A 22,524-nucleotide genomic window follows, 5' to 3' on the forward strand; every position below is an offset into this window, starting at 1 on the left:
ATCACAACCCAATGGAAGAGACTTCAGAGAAACCCACACAGGCACCAGAAGTCCTTCCCTTTCATCTGCCACTGTGGGGTTTTGTCCTCATCTATTACAATGTTGTCCAATCTCAGACTGCATTCAGAACAAAGGCTCTCAGACTGAGGATGAGTTCTTGGATAAGACGACAACTTTGTTCTTAGAAATAATTAACACACCTTAGACAGCAACCATCACTTAGGATGTGTGTGTGTGTGTGTGTGTGTGGGTGTGGGTGTGGGTGTGGGTGTAACATAAACATTTCATATACGAACTGATTAGATGATGATTCTTCTAAAATAGTCTGGCTGTAGGACAACGGCTAGTGTTGCCCAGGAAGTGTAGTCTTGTGATTTGGAGCACATTTCTTCTCAACTAGCCCCCAATAAATAACTGATTCTCCCAAGAAAGAAGTAGATATGACCTGTCCATCTACTCCAGCCTGCAAGAGCACATATTCACAAAGATAGCTTGTTGGCAGGACTAAATAAGCAAACAGAAACAATTTCCAGCAGAGAGTAAATGTCACACTGTAGCTGGATGCGTGTCCCCTATCTCAGACTGCGGCCACTTTACTGATAATATCAGAACGATCAATTATTGTGAGTAAATGGAAGGATGTTTCTGTAGTTCTTGTTGAAACCAACTGAAAAGGGCTCTGGACTTTGGACAATTTCAGAATCAAAAACTAAGAATTTATGACCTGGTGCATGACTGGAGGAAGCATCTATGCCAGCTTTGTGGGTAGGACCTCTGTGGACAACTGGAAAGGCTTGGTGAAGTGAAGCCACGAAAGAAAAGCAGGAAGTAGACTGACCAAAATGTACCAGGTCTCACTGAGGCAGTTTCAATTTTTCAATAGGAGAAAAGAGCTTTAATTTCAGTGCCTCCTTATGTGGTATTCTTAGTTTAAGTGATTTTTATTCCAGTTAGCTTCATAATTTTTTTTTTTCATTTCAGAATGGAGGTTCTGCTTTTGCAATCAATGGTTTTTCTATTCTCTAATACAATGAGTTAGTGTATAGAGGGTACTTAGAATAGTACCTGGCACACAGAAATGTGACATAAAATTCAGTGCTTCAGATAAAGAACCTCTCCAGATTAATCTCTGAGTCTCTGGGCTGTCCCAAATGGATACTGCTTGACTTTTACAGTCAGGATTCTAGGATGAATCCAGTGAGTTAACACTTCCTCAGGATGCTGCCTTCTCACCTGGGTATCTCATTTCATAACATGTGAGATCACATACATTCATCATGGAAAACTACATAGTTACTCCACGTGTATTCGCCCAGCTGTTCTCATTCAAATAAACCTCAAGCCTCCACATTCATGATAAGGAGTCACCTTTGAACCCTTTGTTTTATACTAGTCTTTTTTTAAATTTGACAAGTCTAATTTAATCAGTTTAGAGAAATAAAAGCATCACTGGAGTAAGGAGGTGGCTTTCTAAGATTGCTACATTGAAAGAGTTACCACTCAATAAGATATATAAAATCTAATATGTTTGAGAGGTGACTTTAATTAAGAGCAGTGTTTTTCTCCACCTTTTTTATCCTCTACAAATCCAAATATAGTCTTTTGGGAAGAACAATCCTTCAATTAATATTTGGTGAAAGAAATAATTGGTCACACTTAATATGATATATTATCTATGTAACATACAGGTATGTGATGATCTATCTGCACCAATGCATATTAAAATATCTCCCTTAAGCATACTCACATTATCTCTCCAGACCCTTGTTCCCAGAGCCTGGTGATGTATCAGCCAACAAGTATTTATTAAGTGACTAGGTTTCCTTCTTTCTTTGCAAATTTGCAGGAGCGTTAGCTCTGTCGTCAAGGGCATGAGTCAGAACAACACAGTGGCTGAGTGTGGCTCACCCATGCAGCACCTGGGTGTCCTGCAGCTTGCTATGAACCCACATGAAACTCAGTCTTTGTCTGTGACATGAGGATTATTGATCATAGTAACAGCTCCCTTAAACGTGTGTTGTGAAAATTAAATTAATAAATTCATGTAAATAATTTTATGAACTTAGTAGAGAGGGCTATCAGCTCTTTAATGACCAATCAATTAATCTAAGTACTATGTAACTAAAAATTGGACACACCAGCTGTATCTTGGAGTAGTACACCAAAAAAACCTTGCAAATTTCATATTTCTTTACTAATATTTAGAAAGCACTAGTAAGATCCTATAGTAAAGACTGGCTATAGTCACACAAATGAGAATAAGATTTCTAAGTCTAGCTCACTCTGACATTCAAATTAATAATGCTGTGCTTCAAAATAATAATAACAACAGCCCACTTAAAAATTTATTAGAGACAGGGTTTCGCAACATTGCCTAGACTGGCCTCCTGGGATCAAGGGATCTTCCCACCTTAGCCTCCCAAGCAGCTGGGGCTACAGACAGGTGCCACTGTGATGGGCATGTTAGCCAATATTTACTGAGCACTTATTGTGGCCTTTTTCCATATTGCATCTGTTTCAATCCAAATAAAATACACTCTTCTACCATATTGACCAGTATGTGGCACTCACTATATCATAAGTTATAAGGAACCTGTAATATATCGGGTTAAAAGACTTAATACCTCGGGCTGGGTGCAGTGGCTCATGCCTGTAATCCCAGCACTTGGGAGGCCAAGGCAGTTCAGGAGTTCGAGACCAGCCTGGACAACGTGGTAAAACCCCGTCTCTACTAAAAAAAAAAAATTGTAAAAATTAGCCAGGGGTGGTGGTGCATCCCTGTAATCCCAGCTACTTGGGAGGCTGAGGTGGGAGAATCGCTTGCACCTGGGAGGTGGAGGCTGCAGTGAGCCGAGATCACATCACTGCACTCCAGCCTGGGCGACAGAGTGAAACCCCATCTCAAAATAAACAAATAAACAAAAACCGTAATACCTCATTAGTTTGCAATTCTTGGGCGACCTGACCTGACGTTAATTATACATTAGTTAATAAATTTAATGCAGGACAATCTCAATCCTAATGGAAGGCACAGTTTGTGAAGAGCAAGAAAATGTTCATCTCCTTCCCTACAGTATTACATACTTAAATAAAATGCCCATCCTTGTAAGCGAAAGCATAAAACATTTTTAAGAGTCTTGATTTCTTTAATTACTCATGATCCTGCAATCCTAATTAAATCTAAAAGCCAAATCCCATGGCTTATGATATCCTAAGCTTCTGTCTCCAGAGGACTGCTGCATGCAATAACTATTCTCTGATGTTTGCTATTATGAAGATTGACATAAGCACAGGACTAGAGTTAGTTTCATACGTTCGTCTAAAATCCTAGACACTGGAAATAAAATTCATTCATTCTACAAATATTTACTGAACGAACGCCTGCTATATACATCAGGCAACCTTCGGGCAAAAAAGCATATCCTTGCCATCTTGATGTTTATATACTGGAAGGGAAAGACATTCTACATAAATGTATTAACATAAAACCCTGACTTGGTTTACAGTGAGATGCTCCTAAAAGGCTGAGGAACCAAGGCTTCCTGCCAAACACTCCCTCATTCTCCAGTGAACACTGCGAAAAAGAATATTTATTTTCAACCCATAGCCCCCACCCTGTGGAGATATGAAAGAATCAGTGTTGGGAAAACTGAGAGTTGGATACGGTTGAGAGAATGCCAAGCCCAGGGAGAGGAGCATGGATGAGATGATCCTGGGGTGTGGGGGACTTGCTAGACTGATGAGGCACTCCTGCCTGAGAAACTGGAGGGCAGAAGCACTGGGGACTGCTTAGCATTTCACCGAGGGGCAGCCAGGCACGGTGGCTCACGCCTGTAATCCCAGCACTTTGGGAGGCCGAGGAGGGCAGATCACGAGGTCAGGAGATCAAGACTATCCTGGCTAACACGGTGAAACCCCGTCTCTACTAAAAACACAAAAAATTAGCTGGGCGCGGTGGCAGGCGCCTGTAGTCCCAGCTACTCGGGAGGCTGAGGCAGGAGAATGGCGTGAACCCGGGAGGCAGAGCTTGCAGTGAGCCGAGATCGTGCCACTGCACTCCAGCCTGGGCGAAAGAGTGAGACTCTGTCTCAAAAAAAAAAAAAAAAAAAAAAGAATTTCACCAAGGGGCAGGGGCAGGGTCGCCCCACAGAGGAGGTTTGCAGGGAGAATCAAGGGGGAAAATAAAAGAGCTGAGTGGCAGGGTGTGCAACTCCAGCTCTTGCTATGGATTTGTCGCACAAATAATTTTGGAAAGGTATAAATACCAAGAAAAATAAAACCTGCTCATAACATGAAAAATAAATGTGGGTATGTCAGCTTTAGTTAAGGGGGTGAGGGAAGAGGTTTTAAGGAGGGACATCTAAGATAAACCTGAATTCTGGGAGGAGGCCATCATTCAAAATCTGGGGAAGAGAATTCCAGGCAAAGGGAGCTGTGACAGCACAGAGGTGCCAATTCAAACTAGGGTGAATTCTACAACTAATAACAGTGACTCAGTGACTATTTGTGTAGTAATTTTATATTTTGTTTTAAATTATGTCTGCTTATTTGATCCCCACAAAGCCTAATAACCCTGAGGGATTTGGGTCTCCAGTTGCAGTGGGGGAAATCTTGACCAAAACAAGTGACACCCAGGCCCAGGTCAAGTCAGTTGCAGGCTGGGCCTCTGAGCCGCGCTGGGCCTGGGCTGCAGCATCTGGCCGAGTGTGTGCACCCTTCCCCGTTGTGTGCGCCCTTCGCTGGGTGTGATAGCCACTTCTGTGTCAAGGTCCCACCACCTCTATGCTGACTCCTCTGCCCTCGAGCTCCATCAGGGACAAAGGTCCCTGCTTCAAAGACCTTCCGAGATCTGGTTCCCCAGCAATGGAGGCTGAGATGGATTCCTGGGGCAGGAGGGTTATGGGGCAATTCCCTTGCAGGGATACCTGGCAGGGAGTGAGGAAATCCAGACCCCACAGAGAGACAGATCAGATTGTCATGCTCTTGCAGTGGGGGCCTCAGCTGCTGGGATGCTCTGGAGCTGCCACAGCCCTTCAGAGACTTTCCAGCTTTGAGGCCTCGGCACCCTGTGCTGAGTGGTCATTGGGTCCAGGCTGCCCCTGGCCGGGGAAGAGAAGTTTGTGTAAAGCAGCTCCCTTCAGCCACCCCCAATTCCCAGGGAGGGATTTTGCTCAGAGTGGTCAAGGAAACACCTCCCAGCTGCTGGGAATGGGAGGCTCAGTCCCAAATCACTCCATAGCATCCACTGCACACAGCTCTTCAGAAGAAATTCTCACAGAGAGAAGAGCCTCGAGAGGAAGTCAGTGTGGATGGAACTAAATTTTTAGAAATCTAGGCTCTTAGAATTCTTGATTTGCTATTTCAGATCTTCAAGTGTGTAATTATCTCAGTAGGTGAGGCCCCAACCAGAAATCAGGAATCACTCTAAGCATTTTGAAAAGAGAACATTAAATAGAGAGGATTGGTTACTGAAGGGGATGGACCAAAAGGAATGTTGAAGCAACTGGAACATCAACAAGGCAGGAAGGCTGCAGGGAGCCAGGCAGGGTCATGAGAAGAGCTCAAGAACGAGGGCCATCCAGGAGCTGCTAGACCTTCAGGAGAAGGTCCAGAAATGGCTCTATGTACAACCAGGCCTCGCCTGGGCCTCTTCACAGTCAGCTGTGTCCATTAGCCTTTCCAGGTGTCCATGGTGCTCCTACCCACAAACCTAGGATAGATGCTTCCTCCAGTCATGCAACAGATCATAAATTCTTAGTTTTTGATTCTGAAATTGTCCAGAGCCCTTTTCAGTTGGTTTCAGCAGGAACAACTATCAGTCCATAAATTCCATCTGTGAGTAACTAGGAATATTCTGTGCATTGAATGAAGACTGAAGGGAGAGGACATTGGATCAATGGTGGGTACTTAACTAATGACTAGCTTGGGATGTTCACAGCTGATGGACACAGCTGACAGTGAAGAGGCCCAGGCAAGATCTGGTTGCACAGAGTGCCATTTCTGGACCTTCTCCTGAGGGTCTAGCGGCTCCTGGATGGCTCTCGTTCTTGAGCTCTGTTCATGCTGCCCCTTTGGCTCCCCCCAGCCTTCCTGCCTTGACAATGTTCCAGTTGCTTCAACATTCCTTTTGGCTTCCTAAATCTTCCATCCCCTTCAGTAACCAATCCTTTCTGTTTAATGTTCTCTTTTTAAAAAGCTTAGAGTGATTCCTGATTGCTAGTTGGGGCCTTATCTACTGAGGTAATTACACACATCAAGATCTGAAACAGCAAATCAAGAACTCTAAAAGCCCAGATTTCTAAAAACAGGAAGTCATTTAGTCAAATCCCTGTCTTTTGATAATTCCCTTCACAACAGTATTGTAAAGTGATTTTCTGGTTCTCTGTTAACTCTTTCTTTGCTGCTTAAAGTTGGAAACAATAGCTTGGATTTGCAGGGAGGTGGATTTCAGGTTGATTCAAGAAAGAACCGTCTGATAATACTATAGACTTCCCAGGGCCGCAGATAGCTCCCTGGTACCATTAATATCTAAGAAGAAACCAAGTGACCAGTCAACGTGGCTATTGTAGAATATTCCACCACTGGTTGCTGCAATACACTTGATAACTCCTAAAAGCTGTTCCAACTTTAAAAATCCATGATTCTGTAAGTTGCAGCCCTCACTAATCAGACAATACCCACCAGTTAAGTGTACTGAGCCTACAAGCATTTTTAAAAACAAAATTCTTTCACATTTTGTCATATATCTAACTGCTGATCATCTTCTTTCTTCTATAGCACAGTAGTATGTAACACTTTGCAACAAATCATCAGCTTAAACATAGGCATGGGAAAGCATCTAATAATACTCAGATATTCTTTGTCCTGTTGACGGCACTGAGAGCAAAACAGTGGATAGCCCTGGTCTACAGAACAGTGGAGAGACTGGAATTTTATGTTAAAGACTGCCCCGGTCTACAGAACAGTAGAGAGACTGGAATTTTATGTTTAAGACTGCCCCAAGACAGCAACATTTGCTGCTCACCAGTATCCACTGTTCTGCAGCCTCCGCTGCTGTTACCCAGGCAAACAGGGTCTGGAGTGGACCTCCAGCAAACTCCAACACACCTGCAGCTGAGGGTCCTCACTGTTAGAAGGAAAACTAACAAACAGAAAGGACATCCACACCAAAACCCCATCATCAAAGACCAACCACAAAGTTGGGGAAAAAACAGCTGGAAATCTGAAAACTCTAAAAATCAGAGCACCTCTCCTCCTCCAAAGGAACGCAGCTCCTCACCAGCAATGGAACAAAGCTGGACGGAGAATGATTTTGACAAGTTGAGAGAAGAAGACTTCAGATGATCAAACTACTCTGAGCTAAAGGAGGAAGTTCGAAAACATGGCAAAGAAGTTAAAAACCTTGAAAAAAAATTAGACGAAAGGCTAACTAGAATAACCAGTGCAGAGAGGTCCTTAAAGGACCTGATGGAGCTGAAAACCAAGGCAGGAGAACTATGTGATGAATGCACAAGCTTCAGTAGCCAATTTGATCAACTGGAAGAAAGGGTATCGGTGATGGAAGATGAAATGAATGAAATGAAGCAAAAAGAGAAGCTTAGAGAAAAAAGAATAAAAAGAAACGAACAAAACCTCCAAGAAATATGGGACTATGTCTGATTGGTGTACCTGAAAGTGACAGGGAGAATGGAACCAAGTTGGAAAACACTCTGCAGGATATTATACAGAAGAACTTCCCCAATCTAGCAAGGCAGGCCAACATTCAAATTCAGGAAATACAGAGAATGCCACAAAGATACTTCTCGAGAAGAGCAACTCCAAGACACATCATTGTCAGATTCACCAAAGTTGAAATGAAGGAAAAAATGTAAAGGGCAGCCAGAGAGAAAGGTTGGGTTACCCACAAAGGGAAGCCCACCAGACTAACAGCTGATTTCTCGGCAGAAACTCTACAAGCCAGAAGAGAGTGGGGGCCAATATTCAACATTCTTAAAGAAAAGAATTTTCAACCCAGAATTTCATATCCAGCCAAACTAAGCTTCATAAGTGAAGGAGAAATAAAATACTTTACAGACAAGCAAATGCTGAGAGATTTCATCACCACCAGGCCTACCCTACAAGAGCTCCTGAAGGAAGCACTAAACATGGAAAGGAACAACCAGTACCAGCCACTGCAAAAACATGCCAAATTGTAAAGGCCATCGATGCTAGAAAGAAACTGCATCAACTAACAGGCAAAATAACCAGCTAACATCATAATGACAGGATCAAATTCACACATAACAATATTAACCTTAAATGCAAATGGGCTAAATGCTCCAATTAAAAGACACAGATTGGCAAATTGGATAAAGAGTCAAGACCCATCAGTGTGCTGTATTCAGGAAACCCATCTCATGTGCAGAGACACACATAGGCTCAAAATAAAGGGATGGAGGAAGATCTATCATGCAAATGGAAAACAAAAAAAGGCAGGGGTTGCAATCCTAGTCTCTGATAAAACAGACTTTAAACCAACAAAGATCAAAAGAGACAAAGAAGGCCATTACATAATGGTAAAGGGATCAATTCAACAAGAAGGGCTAACTACCCTAAATATATATGCACCCAATACAGGAGCACCCAGATTCATAAAGCAAGTCCTTAGAGACCTAGAAAGAGACTTAGACTCCCACACAATAATAATGGGAGACTTTAACACCCCACTGTCAACATTAGACAGATCAATGAGACAGAAAGTTAACAAGGATATCCAGGAATTGAACTCAGCTCTGCACCAAGTGGACCTCATAGACATCTACAGAAGTCTCCACCCCAAATCAACAGAATATACATTCTTCTCAGCACCACACCGCACTTATTCCAAAATTGACCACATAGTTGGAAGTAAAGCACTCCTCAGCAAATGTAAAAGAACAGAAATTATAAGAAACTGTCTCTCAGACCACAGTGCAATCAAACTAGAACTCAGGATTAAGAAACTCATTCAAAACCACTCAACTACCTGGAAACTGAACAACCTGCTCCTGAATGACTACTGGGTACATAATGAAATGAGGGCAGAAATAAAGATGTTCTTTGAAACCAACGAGAACAAAGACACAACGTACCAGAATCTCTGGGACACATCCAAAGCAGTGTGTAGAGGGAAATTTATAGCACTAAATGCCCACAAGAGAAAGCAGGAAAGTTCTAAAATTGACACCCTAACATCACAATTAAAAGAACTAGAGAAGCAAGAGCAAACACATTCAAAAGCTAGCAGAAGGCAAGAAATAACTAAGATCAGAGCAGAACTGAAGGAGATAGAGACCAAAAAACCCTTCAAAAAATCAATGAATCCAGGAGCTGGTTTTTTGAAAAGATCAACAAAATTGATAGACTGCTAGCAAGACTAATAAAGAAGAAAAGAGAGAAGAATCAAATAGACGCAATAAAAAATGACAAAGGGGATATCACCACCGATCCCACGGAAATACAAACTACCATCAGAGAATACTATAAACACCTCTATGCAAATAAACTAGAAAATCTAGAAGAAAAGGATAAATTCCTTGACACATACACCCTCCCAAGACTAAACCAGGAAGAAGCTGAATCTCTGAATAGACCAATAACAGGCTCTGAAATTGAGGCAATAATTAATAGCTTACCAACCAGAAAAAGTCCAGGACCAGATGGATTCACAGCCGAATTCTACCAGAGGTACAAGGAGGAGCTGGTACCATTCCTTCTGAAACTATTCCAATCAATAGAAAAGAGGGAATCCTCCCTAACTCATTTTATGAGGCCAGCATCATCCTGATACTAAAGCCTGGCAGAGACACAACAAAACAAGAGAATTTTAGACCAATATCCCTGATGAATATCGATGCAAAAGTCCTCAATAAAATACTAGCAAACCGAATCCAGCAGCACATAAAAAGCTTATCCACCATGATCAAGTGGGCTTCATCCCTGGGATGCAAGGCTGGTTCAACATACGAAAATCAATAAACGTAATCCAGCATATAAACAGAACCAATGACAAAAACCGTATGATTATCTCAATAGATGCAGAAAAGGCCTTTGACAAAATTCAACAACCCTTCATGCTAAAAACTCTCAATAAATTAGGTATTGATGGGACGTATCTCAAAATAATAAGAGCTATCTATGACAAACCCACAGCCAATATCATACTGAATGGGCAAAAACTGGAAGCATTCCCTTTGAAAACTGGCACAAGACAGGGATGCCCTCTCTCACCACTCCTATTCAACATAGTGTTGGAAGTTCTGGCCAGGGCAATCAGGCAGGAGAAGGAAATAAAGGGTATTCAATTAGGAAAAGAGGAAGTCAAATTGTTCCTGTTTGCAGATGACATGATTGTATATCTAGAAAACCGAATCGTCTCAGCCCACAATCTCCTTAAGCTGATAGGCAACTTCAGCAAAGTCTCAGGATACAAAATCAATGTACAAAAATCACAAGCATTCTTATACACCAAAAACAGACAAACAGAGAGCCAAATCATGAGTGAACTCCCATTCACAATTGCTTCAAAGAGAATAAAATACCTAGGAATCCAACTTACAAGGGACGTGAAGGACCTCTTCAAGGAGAACTACAAACCACTGCTCAATGAAATAAAAGAGGATACAAACAAATGGGGAAGAACATTCCATGCTCATGGGTAGGAAGAATCAATATCGTGAAAATGGCCATACTGCCAAAGGTAATTTATAGATTCAATGCCATCCCCATCAAGCTACCAATGACTTTCTTCACAGAATTGGAAAAAACTACTTTAAAGTTCATATGGAACCAAAAAAGAGCCCGCATTGCTAAGTCAATCCTGAGCCAAAAGAACAAAGCTGGAGGCATCATGCTACCTGACTTCGAACTATACTACAAGGCTACAGTAACCAAAACAGCATGGTACTGGTACCAAAACAGAGATATAGACCAATGGAACAGAACAGAGCCCTCAGAAATAATGCCGCATACCTACAACTATCTGATCTTTGACAAACCTGACAAAAACAAGAAATGGGGAAATGATTCCCTATTTAATAAATGGTGCTGGGAAAACTGGCTAGCCATATGTAGAAAGCTGAAACTGGATCCCTTCCTTACACCTTATACAAAAATTAATTCAAGATGGATTAAAGACTTAAATGTTAGACCTAAAACCATAAAAACTCTAGAAGAAAACCTAGGCAATACCATTCAGGACATAGGCATGGGCAAGGACTTCATGTCTAAAACACCAAAAGCAATGGCAACAAAAGCCAAAATTGACAAATGGGATCTAATTTAACTAAAGAGCCTCTGCACAGCAAAAGAAACTACCATCAGAGTGAACAGGCAACCTACAAAATGGGAGAAAATTTTTGCAATCTACTCATCTGACAAAGGGCTAATATCCAGAATCTACAATGAACCCAAACAAATTTACAAGAAAAAAACAAACAACCCCATCAAAAAGTGGGTGAAGGATATGAAGAGGCACTTCTCAAAAGAGGACATTTATGCAGCCAAAAGACACACGAAAAAATGCTCATCATCACTGGCCATCAGAGAAATGCAAATCAAAACCACAATGAGATACCATCTTACACCAGTTAGAATGGCCATCATTAAAAAGTCAGGAAACAACAGGTGCTGGAGAGGATGTGGAGAAATAGGAACACTTTTACACTGTTGGTGGGACTGTAAACTAGTTCAACCATTGTGGAAGTCAGTGTGGCAATTCCTCAGGGATCTAGAACTAGAAATACCATTTGACACAGCAATCGCATTACTGGGTATATACCCAAAGGATTATAAATCATGCTGCTATAAAGACACATGCACATGTATGTTTACTGCGGCATTATTCACAATAGCAAAGACTTGGAACCAAACCAAATGTCCAACAATGATAGACTGGATTAAGAAAATGTGGCACATATATGCCATGGAATACTATGCAGTATTATATTATATGCAGCATATTATAAAAAAGGATGAGTTCATGTCCTTTGTAGGGACATGGATGAAGCTGGAAACCATCATTCTCAGCAAACTATCACAAGGACCAAAAAACAAACACCACATGTCCTCACTCATAGGTGGGAATTGAACAATGAGAACACATGGACATAGGAAGGGGAACATCACACACCGGGGCCTGTTGTGGGGTGGGGGGAGTGGGGAGGGATAGCATTAGGAGATATACCTAATGTTAAATGATGAGTTAATGGGTGCAGCACACCAACATGGCACATGTATACATATGTAACTAACCTGCACGTTGTGCACATGTACCCTAAAACTTAAAGTATAATAATAAAAAAAAAGACTGCCCCAAGAATGACATCAAAGGTCCACCTTCTAAGTTATGAGACTAATATTCTCCACATCCTGGGCACCTACCTCTATGGATATACACATTGGAAAAATAGTCACACAAGAAAAATACCTCATCAGACCAAATGGTGGGCAGAGGGCCACGGAGCCATGCTTACATGTATGAATCCCACTTCCAGTTCAGGTGGGGTCTGCATTAGCACATCCTGCCAGCAATACATGGTGGCCTAACAGGCTCCTAAGGCTGATTCAAACTTATTGTTTCAGGTGCAGGCTGCCCGGGAGCAGGGAGTGCAGGACTTGCTGACAGTCCCTTCAGTTTGCCAATGTACTTTCATATAATTCACAGAATGTGTATTAACACACACTGGAAAGTCTGAGTATGCTTGAACCTGAGTTTTCCCTAGAAAGCCATGCTGCATTCACTCTTCCAGATCCATCATGCACCACACAGGACCTTGCACCACAAGTAATGTCTAACCGGGGTGTCTAACTTTTGACTTCCCTGGCCACATTGGAAGAAGAAGAATTGTCTTGGGCCACACATAACACTGACACTAATGATATCTGATGAGCAAAAAAAAAAAAGAAAGTCCTCGCATAAATCTCATATTGTTTTAAGAAACTTCGGAAATTTGTGTTGGGCCACACTCAAAACTGTCCTGGGTCCCAGGTTGGACAAGCTTGGTCTAACACAAGATGCCTCAAAACACAGATTTTAGAAACGCATGTGTTCTGCCTACATGTTCAGAAAAAAATGTGATATCCTTGCTTGGAGCCCCTCTGCAACTATATAAACAAACACATAAATGAGGTTATGTTGAATATTAGTCATGGTTCTTGGTGCTAAATGGAGAAAGAGGAAAATAAGTCATCTGAATGCTGCTTTCAGTTGCTCACTGGAAGGATGTGTGTGGATTTTCCTTTCCAACTCCTTCTTCCCTCCTCTTTTACCACGAGCAGTGCCAGCAGAAGCCAGTGCACCTGTTTGTGCTCTGTTTGTGCACTGACCTTGTAACATTTTGTTAGTTCATGATATTTCTTTATGCAGAGAGGATTAAGTTTTTTCCTTTTGATTTTATGTTTCACCTATGATGTCCCTGATAGTGTCAGTCCTTGGCACATCTGAGTATGAACTGATGTCCATAAACCATCAACTGTTTGTCACGTCTGACATTGCTGCATATTCAGGGCTGGTTAGTTTGGGAAAAAGAAAAAGTCAGGGGTTGTCACAGAAGTATGTAGGGGGAAATCCCAGTTACTTGATTTCCAAATAAAACAATAAAGGGCCACACTGATATAAAAGTGATAGGTAACTTAATTGGATATATAAAGGTAGTCATTTTTAAAGCACTTTATTGTGAATGCACGCACAACCTTCTTTCTTTGGAAAAGGAGCTCCACACCGTAGAATAGTAGTTGCCTGTATGCTATAATCTTGTTTCTCAGGCCGGAAACTATTCTGTTTATGCTAATTCCTTTAGGAATGAGGCTGTGGTGGGTGGGGTCTCATTAACAATATATTTTTAGTTTTATAAGGATTTGCATAAACTCACATTTCTCTACCCTTTATATGCATTGTGTATTAAGGATTTAGGTGACTTAGAATTACTGTTATTTAGAGACAGGAAAATCAACATGCCATCTGCAGTCATAACTACTATGATGAATGATCATAACATGCCTTATGAAGTTTACAGAGAATGAGGGAGAATGGGAAAGACAGAGTCATTATTTGTTGTTCTGTGTACACCGTGGTCTTTACTTCTTTTTCTAAAGAGTTGATCACTAACAAGGAAATCACCAATGACCTTTCCCACACCACTCCATAGATGGGGTCAAACAACTTCCTTTTCCTTTCATGTAAACATACGGCCATTGCACTCACCTACAACATTTGGCACAGGCCGTACTTCTCATAACGGTAGAGTTTTGAAAAAAAGACAATTTACTAAATTAACTCAGTGTGGTTTAATTTTAATACTTGTGACAGAACTTGAAGTTGAAAAATTCACAAACCAGAGCATGTTTCCTAATTAGAGCCTCAGAAATTATAGTCACCACTTTATATTCCATGCCTTCAGGTTCTTATAGAGTAACCAGAATGGGAGCTGAAGTGTTGCAGAAACACACTTGAGGAGCTACATCTTCAAATCAAATTATTCTCTTTCATTATGCTATTGAGACATATTTAAGAAACCTCAACTAATGTACGAAGTTATGGCTGGGACAAATCTTCCTACCCCATTCTCCTGTAAATGGCTCATAAATATCAAATGCTGCTCGGCCTCTTCCAGTTGCCACCACACTCTCCCCACAACCCAAAAAACAAATGTATGTACCAATGTTGTCATGCCATTTGTCTTATTTTATTGACAATACTTTGAGTTAGTAGTGTTAACTAGCCAAAACATTCCAGTGATACTGCCATGCTTACTATGAAGCCCTAATAGGGAATTTGTTAACTGTGTAAGTGACAAACATGCATCACAAACAACTTCTATACAGCTCTACTTAGTGTAGTTCTTAAAATGTTTGACACCCACTCCATGCCATATTAGCCCTGCTGCATAGATAACATCTCTGCCATTAGATAAAGGCCATCCCAAGGAGCCCAGCAAAATACATTCAGACTGTATAACTCTGTGGTATACGATAACAAAATTCTCTTACCTTGCATCGTCGTTTTTGTTGGTTCTGAGAACAGAGGAATGAGCAAGAGGTAGATAAGGTAGACAAAGGAGAGCCCATTGTATCGGAATGCACATGCTGTGGGTGGGAAGAGAGAAGAGAGTGAGAAGATCATTAACAAAGGCAGGTTGACAAAACCAGGGGTGCATAACAAAAGATGGTCTCAGATGTCACTGGATCAAACAGTGTCACTTCCTGAATAGATATGTCAATTAAACAGTAATAAATTAGGTATTTATTCTATGTTCATCACTGTGTTGAGCATGACGAGAAGCAGATAATTAAAATACATCATCACTGGTCTTAAAATCTAACCAAGAAATCTGAAGGTAAAAGACAAAACTATTGAAAATAATAATAGCTACAATAATTTAAGGGATACATAGTACAAAAAGATGTAAATTGTGACACCAAACACATAAAATGTTATTGGGGGTGGACTATAAAAGTGCAGACTTTTTGTTTTTTTGTTTGTGACTGAGTTTTGCCCTGTTGCCTAGGCTGGAGTGCAATGGCATGATCTCGGCTCACTGCAACCTCTGCCTCCTGGGTTCAAGTGATTCTCCTGTCTCAGCCTCCCAAGTAGCTGGGATTACAGGTGCACCCCACCACGCCTGGCTAATTTTTATATTTTTAGTAGAGACGGGGTTTCGCCATGTTGGCCAGGCTGGTCTTGAACTCTTGACCTCAGGTAATCTGCCCACCTCAGCCTCCCAAAGTGATGGGATTACAGGCGTGAGCCACCGCATCTGGCCTAGTGCAGACTTTTTATATATGATTAAAGTTAAGTTGCTATCAGTTTAAAATACTCTGTGATACTATAAAATGCTTTATGCAAGCCTCATGGTCACCACAAAGCAAAAACCTATAGTAGATACAAAGTAGACAAAAAGTACAAAATCGAAGCATACCACTAGAGAAAATCACCAAATCACAAAGGAAGACAGCAAGACAGAAAGAAATGAAAAAACTGAAGTACAAAACAATCAGAAAATAACAAACAAAATGACAGCAGTAAGTCCTTAGCTACCAATGATTACCTTAATACAATGTATACTATTAGGTGATGGTTACACTAAAAGCCCAGACTTCACTACTAGGCAATATATCTATGTAATAAAACTGCACTTGTACACCCTAAATATATAAAAATAAAAAATAACATTTTTTTCCTCCATTAGGCCCTATTAGGCCAATGGAGAAATCTAGCAATAAAAGGCAAATGTAACCATACTTTCTTTAAGAAAAAAAAAATTATCTTGAATGTAAATGGATTAAATTCTCCAATCAAAAGACATAGCTTGGATGAAAGAATCTTTTAAAGACCCAAGTATATGCTGCCTGCAAGAAACTCACTTCACATTTAAGAATACACAGAGACTGAAGGTGAAAGGATGGAAAAAGATATTCTATGCAAATCAAAACCAAAGGACAGCAGGGATAGCTAGACTTATATCAGATAAAATAGACTTTAAGTTAAGAACTGTAAAATGAGACAAAGAAGTAGAGGGAACAATTGTAATGGTTGTAAATATATATGCACCCAAGATTGGAACATCTACATATATAAAGCAAATATCAACGGATATAAATGAAGAGATAGACTATAATGTAATAATAGCAGGGACCTCAATATCCATTTTTACAAATGGACAGATTATCCAGACAGAAAATTAATAAGAAAACATCAGACTTAAACTACATTTTTGACCAAATGAATCTAACAGACACATACAGAACATTCTATCCAACAGCAGCAGAATACACATTCTTTTTTTGTTTGTTTGTTTGTTTTGAGACGGAGTCTTGCTCTGTCCCCCAGGCTGCAGTGCAGTGGCACGATCTCAGCTCACTGCAAGCTCCGCCTCCCAGGTTCACGCCATTTTCCTGCCTCAGCCTCCCGAGTAACTGGGACTGCAGGCATCCGCCACACGCCCAGCTAATTTTTCATATTTTTAGTGGAGATGGGGTTTCACTGTGTTAGCCAGGATGGTCTCAATCTCCTGATCTCATGATCCGCCTGCCTTGGCCACCCAAAGTGCTGGGATTACAGGTGTGAGCCACCGCACCCGGCAGAATACACGTTCTTCTTAAGCACACATGGAGGATTCTCAGAATAGAGCATAAGTTAGGTCACAAAATAAGTCTCAACAATTTTAAGAAAACTGAAATCATATCAAGTGTCTTTTCCAACCACAATGGTACAAAACTAGAAATCAAAAACAGGAGGAATTTCAGAAAATTTGCAAATACACGGAAATTAAACAACACGCTCCTAAACAGTCAATGAGTCAAAGAAGAAAGTAAGAAAGTAAAAGGGAGATTAGAAAATACCTTGGGATTAGCAAAATTGGACACACAAGATACCAAAACTTATGGAATCCAGCAAAAGCAGTTCTAAGAGAGAAGCTTATAGCAATAAATGCTTACATAAAAAAAAAGAAAGATCTCAAACAACCTAGCATTACACCTCAAGGAACAAGAAAAAGAAAAGCTAACCAAGCCCAAAGTTGGTAGAAGGAAAGAAATACTAAAGATCAGACCAGAAACAAATGAAACAGACAATAGAAAACCAATAGAAAAGGCCAACAAAACTATGAGTTGGTTTTTTGAAAAGAAATAGAATCCACAAACCTCAGACTCAGAAGAAGACAGAAGATGCAAAAAATTAAGATTAGAAATGAAAGAGGAGACATTACCACTGATTTCACATGAGTATAAAGGATTATAAGAGATTTCTATGAGCAATTATACATTAATAAACTGGATAACCTAGAGGAAATGAATAAATTCCTAGCAATATACAACCTACCATGATGGAATCATGAAGAAATAAAAAATCTGAGCAGACTAGTAAAAAGTAAGGAGATTGGAATCGGTGATAAAAAGTCTCCCCTCAAAAATAAATGAATAAATAAATAAAAGCCCAGGACCTCATGAATTCTACCAAACATTTAAGGAGAAATAATATCAATTCTTCTCAAATTCTTCCAAGAAAATTAAAGAAGAGGGAATACTTGCAAAGTCATCCTATGTGGTCATCACTACCCTGATACCAAAACCAGACAAGGATAATACAAGGAAAGAAAATTACAGGCCAGTGTCCTTGATGAACACAGATGCACAAGTACTCAACAAAATGCAAGCAAACCCCACTCGGCAATGCATTAAAAGCCTCCTTCATCATGATCAAGTGGGCTTTATCCCAGGGATGCAAGAATGGTTCAACATACCTATAGCTGTCAATGTGATACACCACATTAACAGAATGAAGAACAAAAGCCATATATCTTCTCAAAAGATGCAGAAAAACTATCTGACAAAATTCAACACCCTTCATGGTAAAAATTCTCAACAAATTACATATAGAAGAAATGGACTTCAACACAATAAAGGCCATATGTAACACACACACAGCTAATATCACACTCAACAATGACAATTTAAAGCTTTTCTTTTAAGACCAGAATCAAGACAAGGATGCCTACTCTTGACACTTCCATTCAATGTGGTACGGGAAGTCCTAGGCAGAGGAATTAGGCAAGAAAAAGAAATCAATACATCAAAATTGGAAAGGAAGAGGCAAAGCAAATTTGTGTTTGCAGATGACATGATCTTATATTAAGAAAACCCTAAAGATTCAACCAAAAAATTGTTAGAACTAATTAATTCAGTAAAGTTTCAAAATACAAAATCAACACAAGAAAATCAGTGGTATTTGCTATATGCTAACAATGAACTATCTGAAAAAGAAATTTAAAAAATCCCATTCACAATAGCTACAAATAATACTTAGAAATAAATCTAACCAAGGAGGTGAAAGACCTATAAATGGAAGAATATAAAACATTGATAATAGAAATTGAAGAAGACACAAATACAGTCATGGACCTCTTAGCATCAGCAATATGCTCTGAGAAATGCATTGTTAGGTAGTTTTGTCCTTGTGGGAACTGTGTGCTTACATAAACAAAGATGGTATGCCCTACTGCACACCTAGACATATGGTGTAGCCTACTGCTCCTAGGCCAAAAACCTATGCAGCATATGTTACTGTGCTGAATACTATAGACAACTGTAATACAATGGTAAGGATTTATGTATCTAAACATATCTAAATACAGAAAAAGTACAGTAAAAATACGGCACTATAATCTTAGGGGACCAACCCCACAGACTGTCAACATTCCTGCTCGGTGACTATCAAGGGGCATGGAGATCAAGCCCTGAACAGAGATGTTTGTTGAAATAATAAGAAAAAATGAACTCTCTGAAGGAAAGAACACTAAAGAGAGGCACGAAGGAGGCAGGTGTTTGTCTTAGCTCTGCCTACATGTGGGATGAGAGGGGGCAAGCAAACTGGCAGGTAGGAAAGAAAAAAGCAGCAGAAAAATTCGAGACGGATATGAGAAAAACCAGGAAAGCCTAGCTTCACAAAGGGAAAGGTTTTCACAAAAGAAGTCCACTGCAAAAGGGAGACTAGACTGTCGTGACTGCCGGTAAGGATGTCCTTGCAGGCCCTCGCAGAAGGGCTTCAGCCCAGAAGGAAGGAAGGAAGTCAACCTATGGAAGTGCAGTGAACGTGCTGCCACAACCAGGAAGCTGGAAGCAAGAAGGGGAGGCCCGGGAGACTGAGCAGAGGACGCCAGGGAACAGACTGGGCCTAAGTGCTCCTGGTCACAGAAGTGCTGGGCATCAGGGACTAGGGCGCAGTCCAGGCTGAGGGGACACATCAGGATGCGAGTGGCGGGTACCCAGACAGGAAGACCAGATCAAGAAGCACTAATCCCAGAATGCGGACAACAGGAGCATAGCACACTCCAGCCAAGGGTCTGCATTAGAACCCGTGGTGCCTGCTTCCATGGCTGATTCTAGAAGTCAGCGAGGAAAGAAGCAAAATGCAATAATTTTATTGCAATAAAAATGCAATAAAGCAAAATCCATGGGAGAAGAGAACAGGAATCGAAAAGAAGTTCTTTTTATCCCAAAGGAGTCATGCACATATTTGTTGCTTTCTACACCACTCCCCACATCCCAACCTCCTTTCTTAAAGGTTCAAAGCAGAAAGAAATGTTCACACCACAGATTGGAGTGACAGGCAAATATAGGTGATCTGCAAGAACAAGAACAAGAACACAAGCTCGGATTCTCTTTCCAGCTGCTTTTTCTCTCCTGCTTATTTCTCATCCAGAGTTGAAGTCTTTTATAGAACATTGTAGAGACATTTGGTCATTCATCTGCCAACAAACATGTAGTGAGCACACACTGTGTGATGGGCGTTGTCCCAGGTGTTTGGGCTACATCAGAGAGCAAAACGGAAATGAGAGATTGTACCCTGCCTTTGGGAGCTGACGTTCTGGTGGGGAGACAGTAGTGAACAATGGGCATAGTCAAAGGCAAAGCATGTGGTATGTTGGAAAGGAAGTGCTATGTCCACAAGAAGTCCAGCCAGAGAAGGGAAGGCTGCAGCCTAGGGGAAGGGAGGCTTGCAGGGGAAAGTGAGGTTGAAGCCCAGAGGTGAGGGAGGTGATGAGCTGAGTGAGCGATTCCTGTCAATTCCCATAGGAGAAGCACTCAGGCAAAGTGGAAGCAAGCCTGACCCTTCCAACTCACAGAAGACAGCCCCAAAGAGCCCAGTGTGCAAGCAGAGGCCTCCAGGAGGCCGGATCATGCCAGGCCTTGCAAGGGCTCCGGGGACTTTGGTTTTCCCTCTGAGTGGCCATGGAAGTGATCATTCTTCCCCTGGGTTTGGGGCTGCCTGGCTCCTGCTCTGCTAGCAGCTCCAGTTTCCCACCCGTGCCCATCCTGCGCTCCATGCTACTGCAAAACTACATCACCTGCATCTGCCCTGTCCTTTCTGCATCAGGCATCTTCCTGCACAGCTCACATGCTTCCCCTCCTGGAAGCTGTCCAGGACCATACCCTCCTCCAACAGAGATTTCTTAGTCCCTGGTACCCCTCAAGCCTATGTCTCATCCAGCACCCCTTGCATGTACTTCTACGTCAGTGGGGCCCTTCAGTAGGGTAGAATCTTTGTTATCTCTGTCATCTCCATACCCATTACTGTATCTGCTCCAGAGTAGGGGATCCATGCTTACAAAATGAATGAATGAATAAAAACAAAATGAAAACAGCTTGATCTAAAAGAAACCGAAGGGTATCAAGGTATGCAGAATTTCTGGTGGCAATAAAATCACCCCAATTGACATGGCCCCCAAATAAAAATGTAATAAATAGAACATTTCTCTTTTTTTTAGCCTAGGTGAGATTTTTTAATGTTAATCCATGTTGGACATAAAATTACCTAATTCTGTGAATTTCTGGGTCAAAAGAAGAATAAAAGTCGCTCACATGATTGTACCATCTTAAAGAGCATGCATAGTGCATGTAACTATTCATTTATGTTAGTAATAGCTCATACTAATGTGCTTACTGTGTGACAAGCCCGGATCTATGCATTTCACGTCAATTAACTCTTGTAGTTATTATCATCATTTTACAAAGTCTTTTATTTCTTTTTACATGTGAAGAAGCAGGCCCAGTGGGTACAGCTATGTAGCCTGGCTGAGGTTTGCACCACTGCAGTCGGGATCCTGAGTCTGTGCTGTCTTCAAGAAGTGCATGACCTCACCGCCGTACCACATCCTTATTCTGTGTGTCTTTCTCACCAGTGAAATGTCAAGGGCTCAGTAAGGTCAAGGCCGGGCTAGGATTACAGGTATAAGCCACCTCCCCCAGGCAACAACTGCTTCTTTATCAAGTGTGATATTGCCTCAGACCCCTTCACGCACCCTCTGCACTTAGCACAGGGCCCTCTGTGAACATGATGGCATATGCTCTGTATGTATGTTGTTGTTTCAAATTTTTATAACTTTGCTATGTAAGGCTTTATATTATTTGCAATCAAAATACATATATTAAGGAAGATTTCCTATGATTAACTTCGGAGGCGGGAGAACAGAGCCTGGTCTTGGTTTCCCACATCACAACCTTCTAGTTACCATTATTCATAGCAAAGTCCAACAAGCTATGGAGAGGACAAGGGTGGCCCAGGGTGGTGGGCAGGCTCTAAAACCACCCCCAGTGGTCCCCATCTCCTTGTGTTCACATCCATTTGTGCAATCACCTCTTCTTGAGTGTGGGCTGTAGCTAGAGCCTCACTTATAATGAACAGAATACAGTAAAAGTATTGGGGCACCACTGCCACAGCTAAGCTACAAAAGGGTTAAGGCTTGTCTTGAGCATCCCCTCTCCCTTGCTCACCCTGCGGGAAGCCAGCTGCTGTGCTACATGTGTCCTTCAGAGAGGCCCGTGTGACAAAGGACTGAGATTTCCACCCAAAAGCCACCCGAGTCAGCTTGGAGGCAGGTCCTGCTCTGACAACATGCTCACTCGAGTGTCCCTGGATGCAGCAATAGATAACTAGTGCACAAACTAAAAACTAAATAAAATAAATAAAAAATAAACCACCTCCAAAAATCCAGCTTCACTTACTTTTCA

General features: G+C 41.3%; 1 protein-coding gene across 11 annotated transcripts in view; it reads right to left on the reverse strand.

The window, feature by feature from the left end:
• PIEZO2 (piezo type mechanosensitive ion channel component 2) overlaps positions 1-22,524 on the reverse strand; it is a 479,323-nt gene that overhangs the window by 380,874 nt on the left and 75,925 nt on the right. For all 11 annotated transcript variants that reach the window (XM_047437735.1, XM_017025918.3, XM_047437736.1 and 8 more), the window contains exon 2: positions 15,007-15,102. In XM_047437735.1, the coding sequence (XP_047293691.1) occupies positions 15,007-15,102 (96 nt within the window). The remainder of the gene's footprint in view (positions 1-15,006; positions 15,103-22,524) is intronic.

Source organism: Homo sapiens, chromosome 18 (assembly GCF_000001405.40).
Source record: "Homo sapiens chromosome 18, GRCh38.p14 Primary Assembly".
In the NCBI taxonomy this organism is placed as follows: domain Eukaryota; kingdom Metazoa; phylum Chordata; class Mammalia; order Primates; family Hominidae; genus Homo; species Homo sapiens.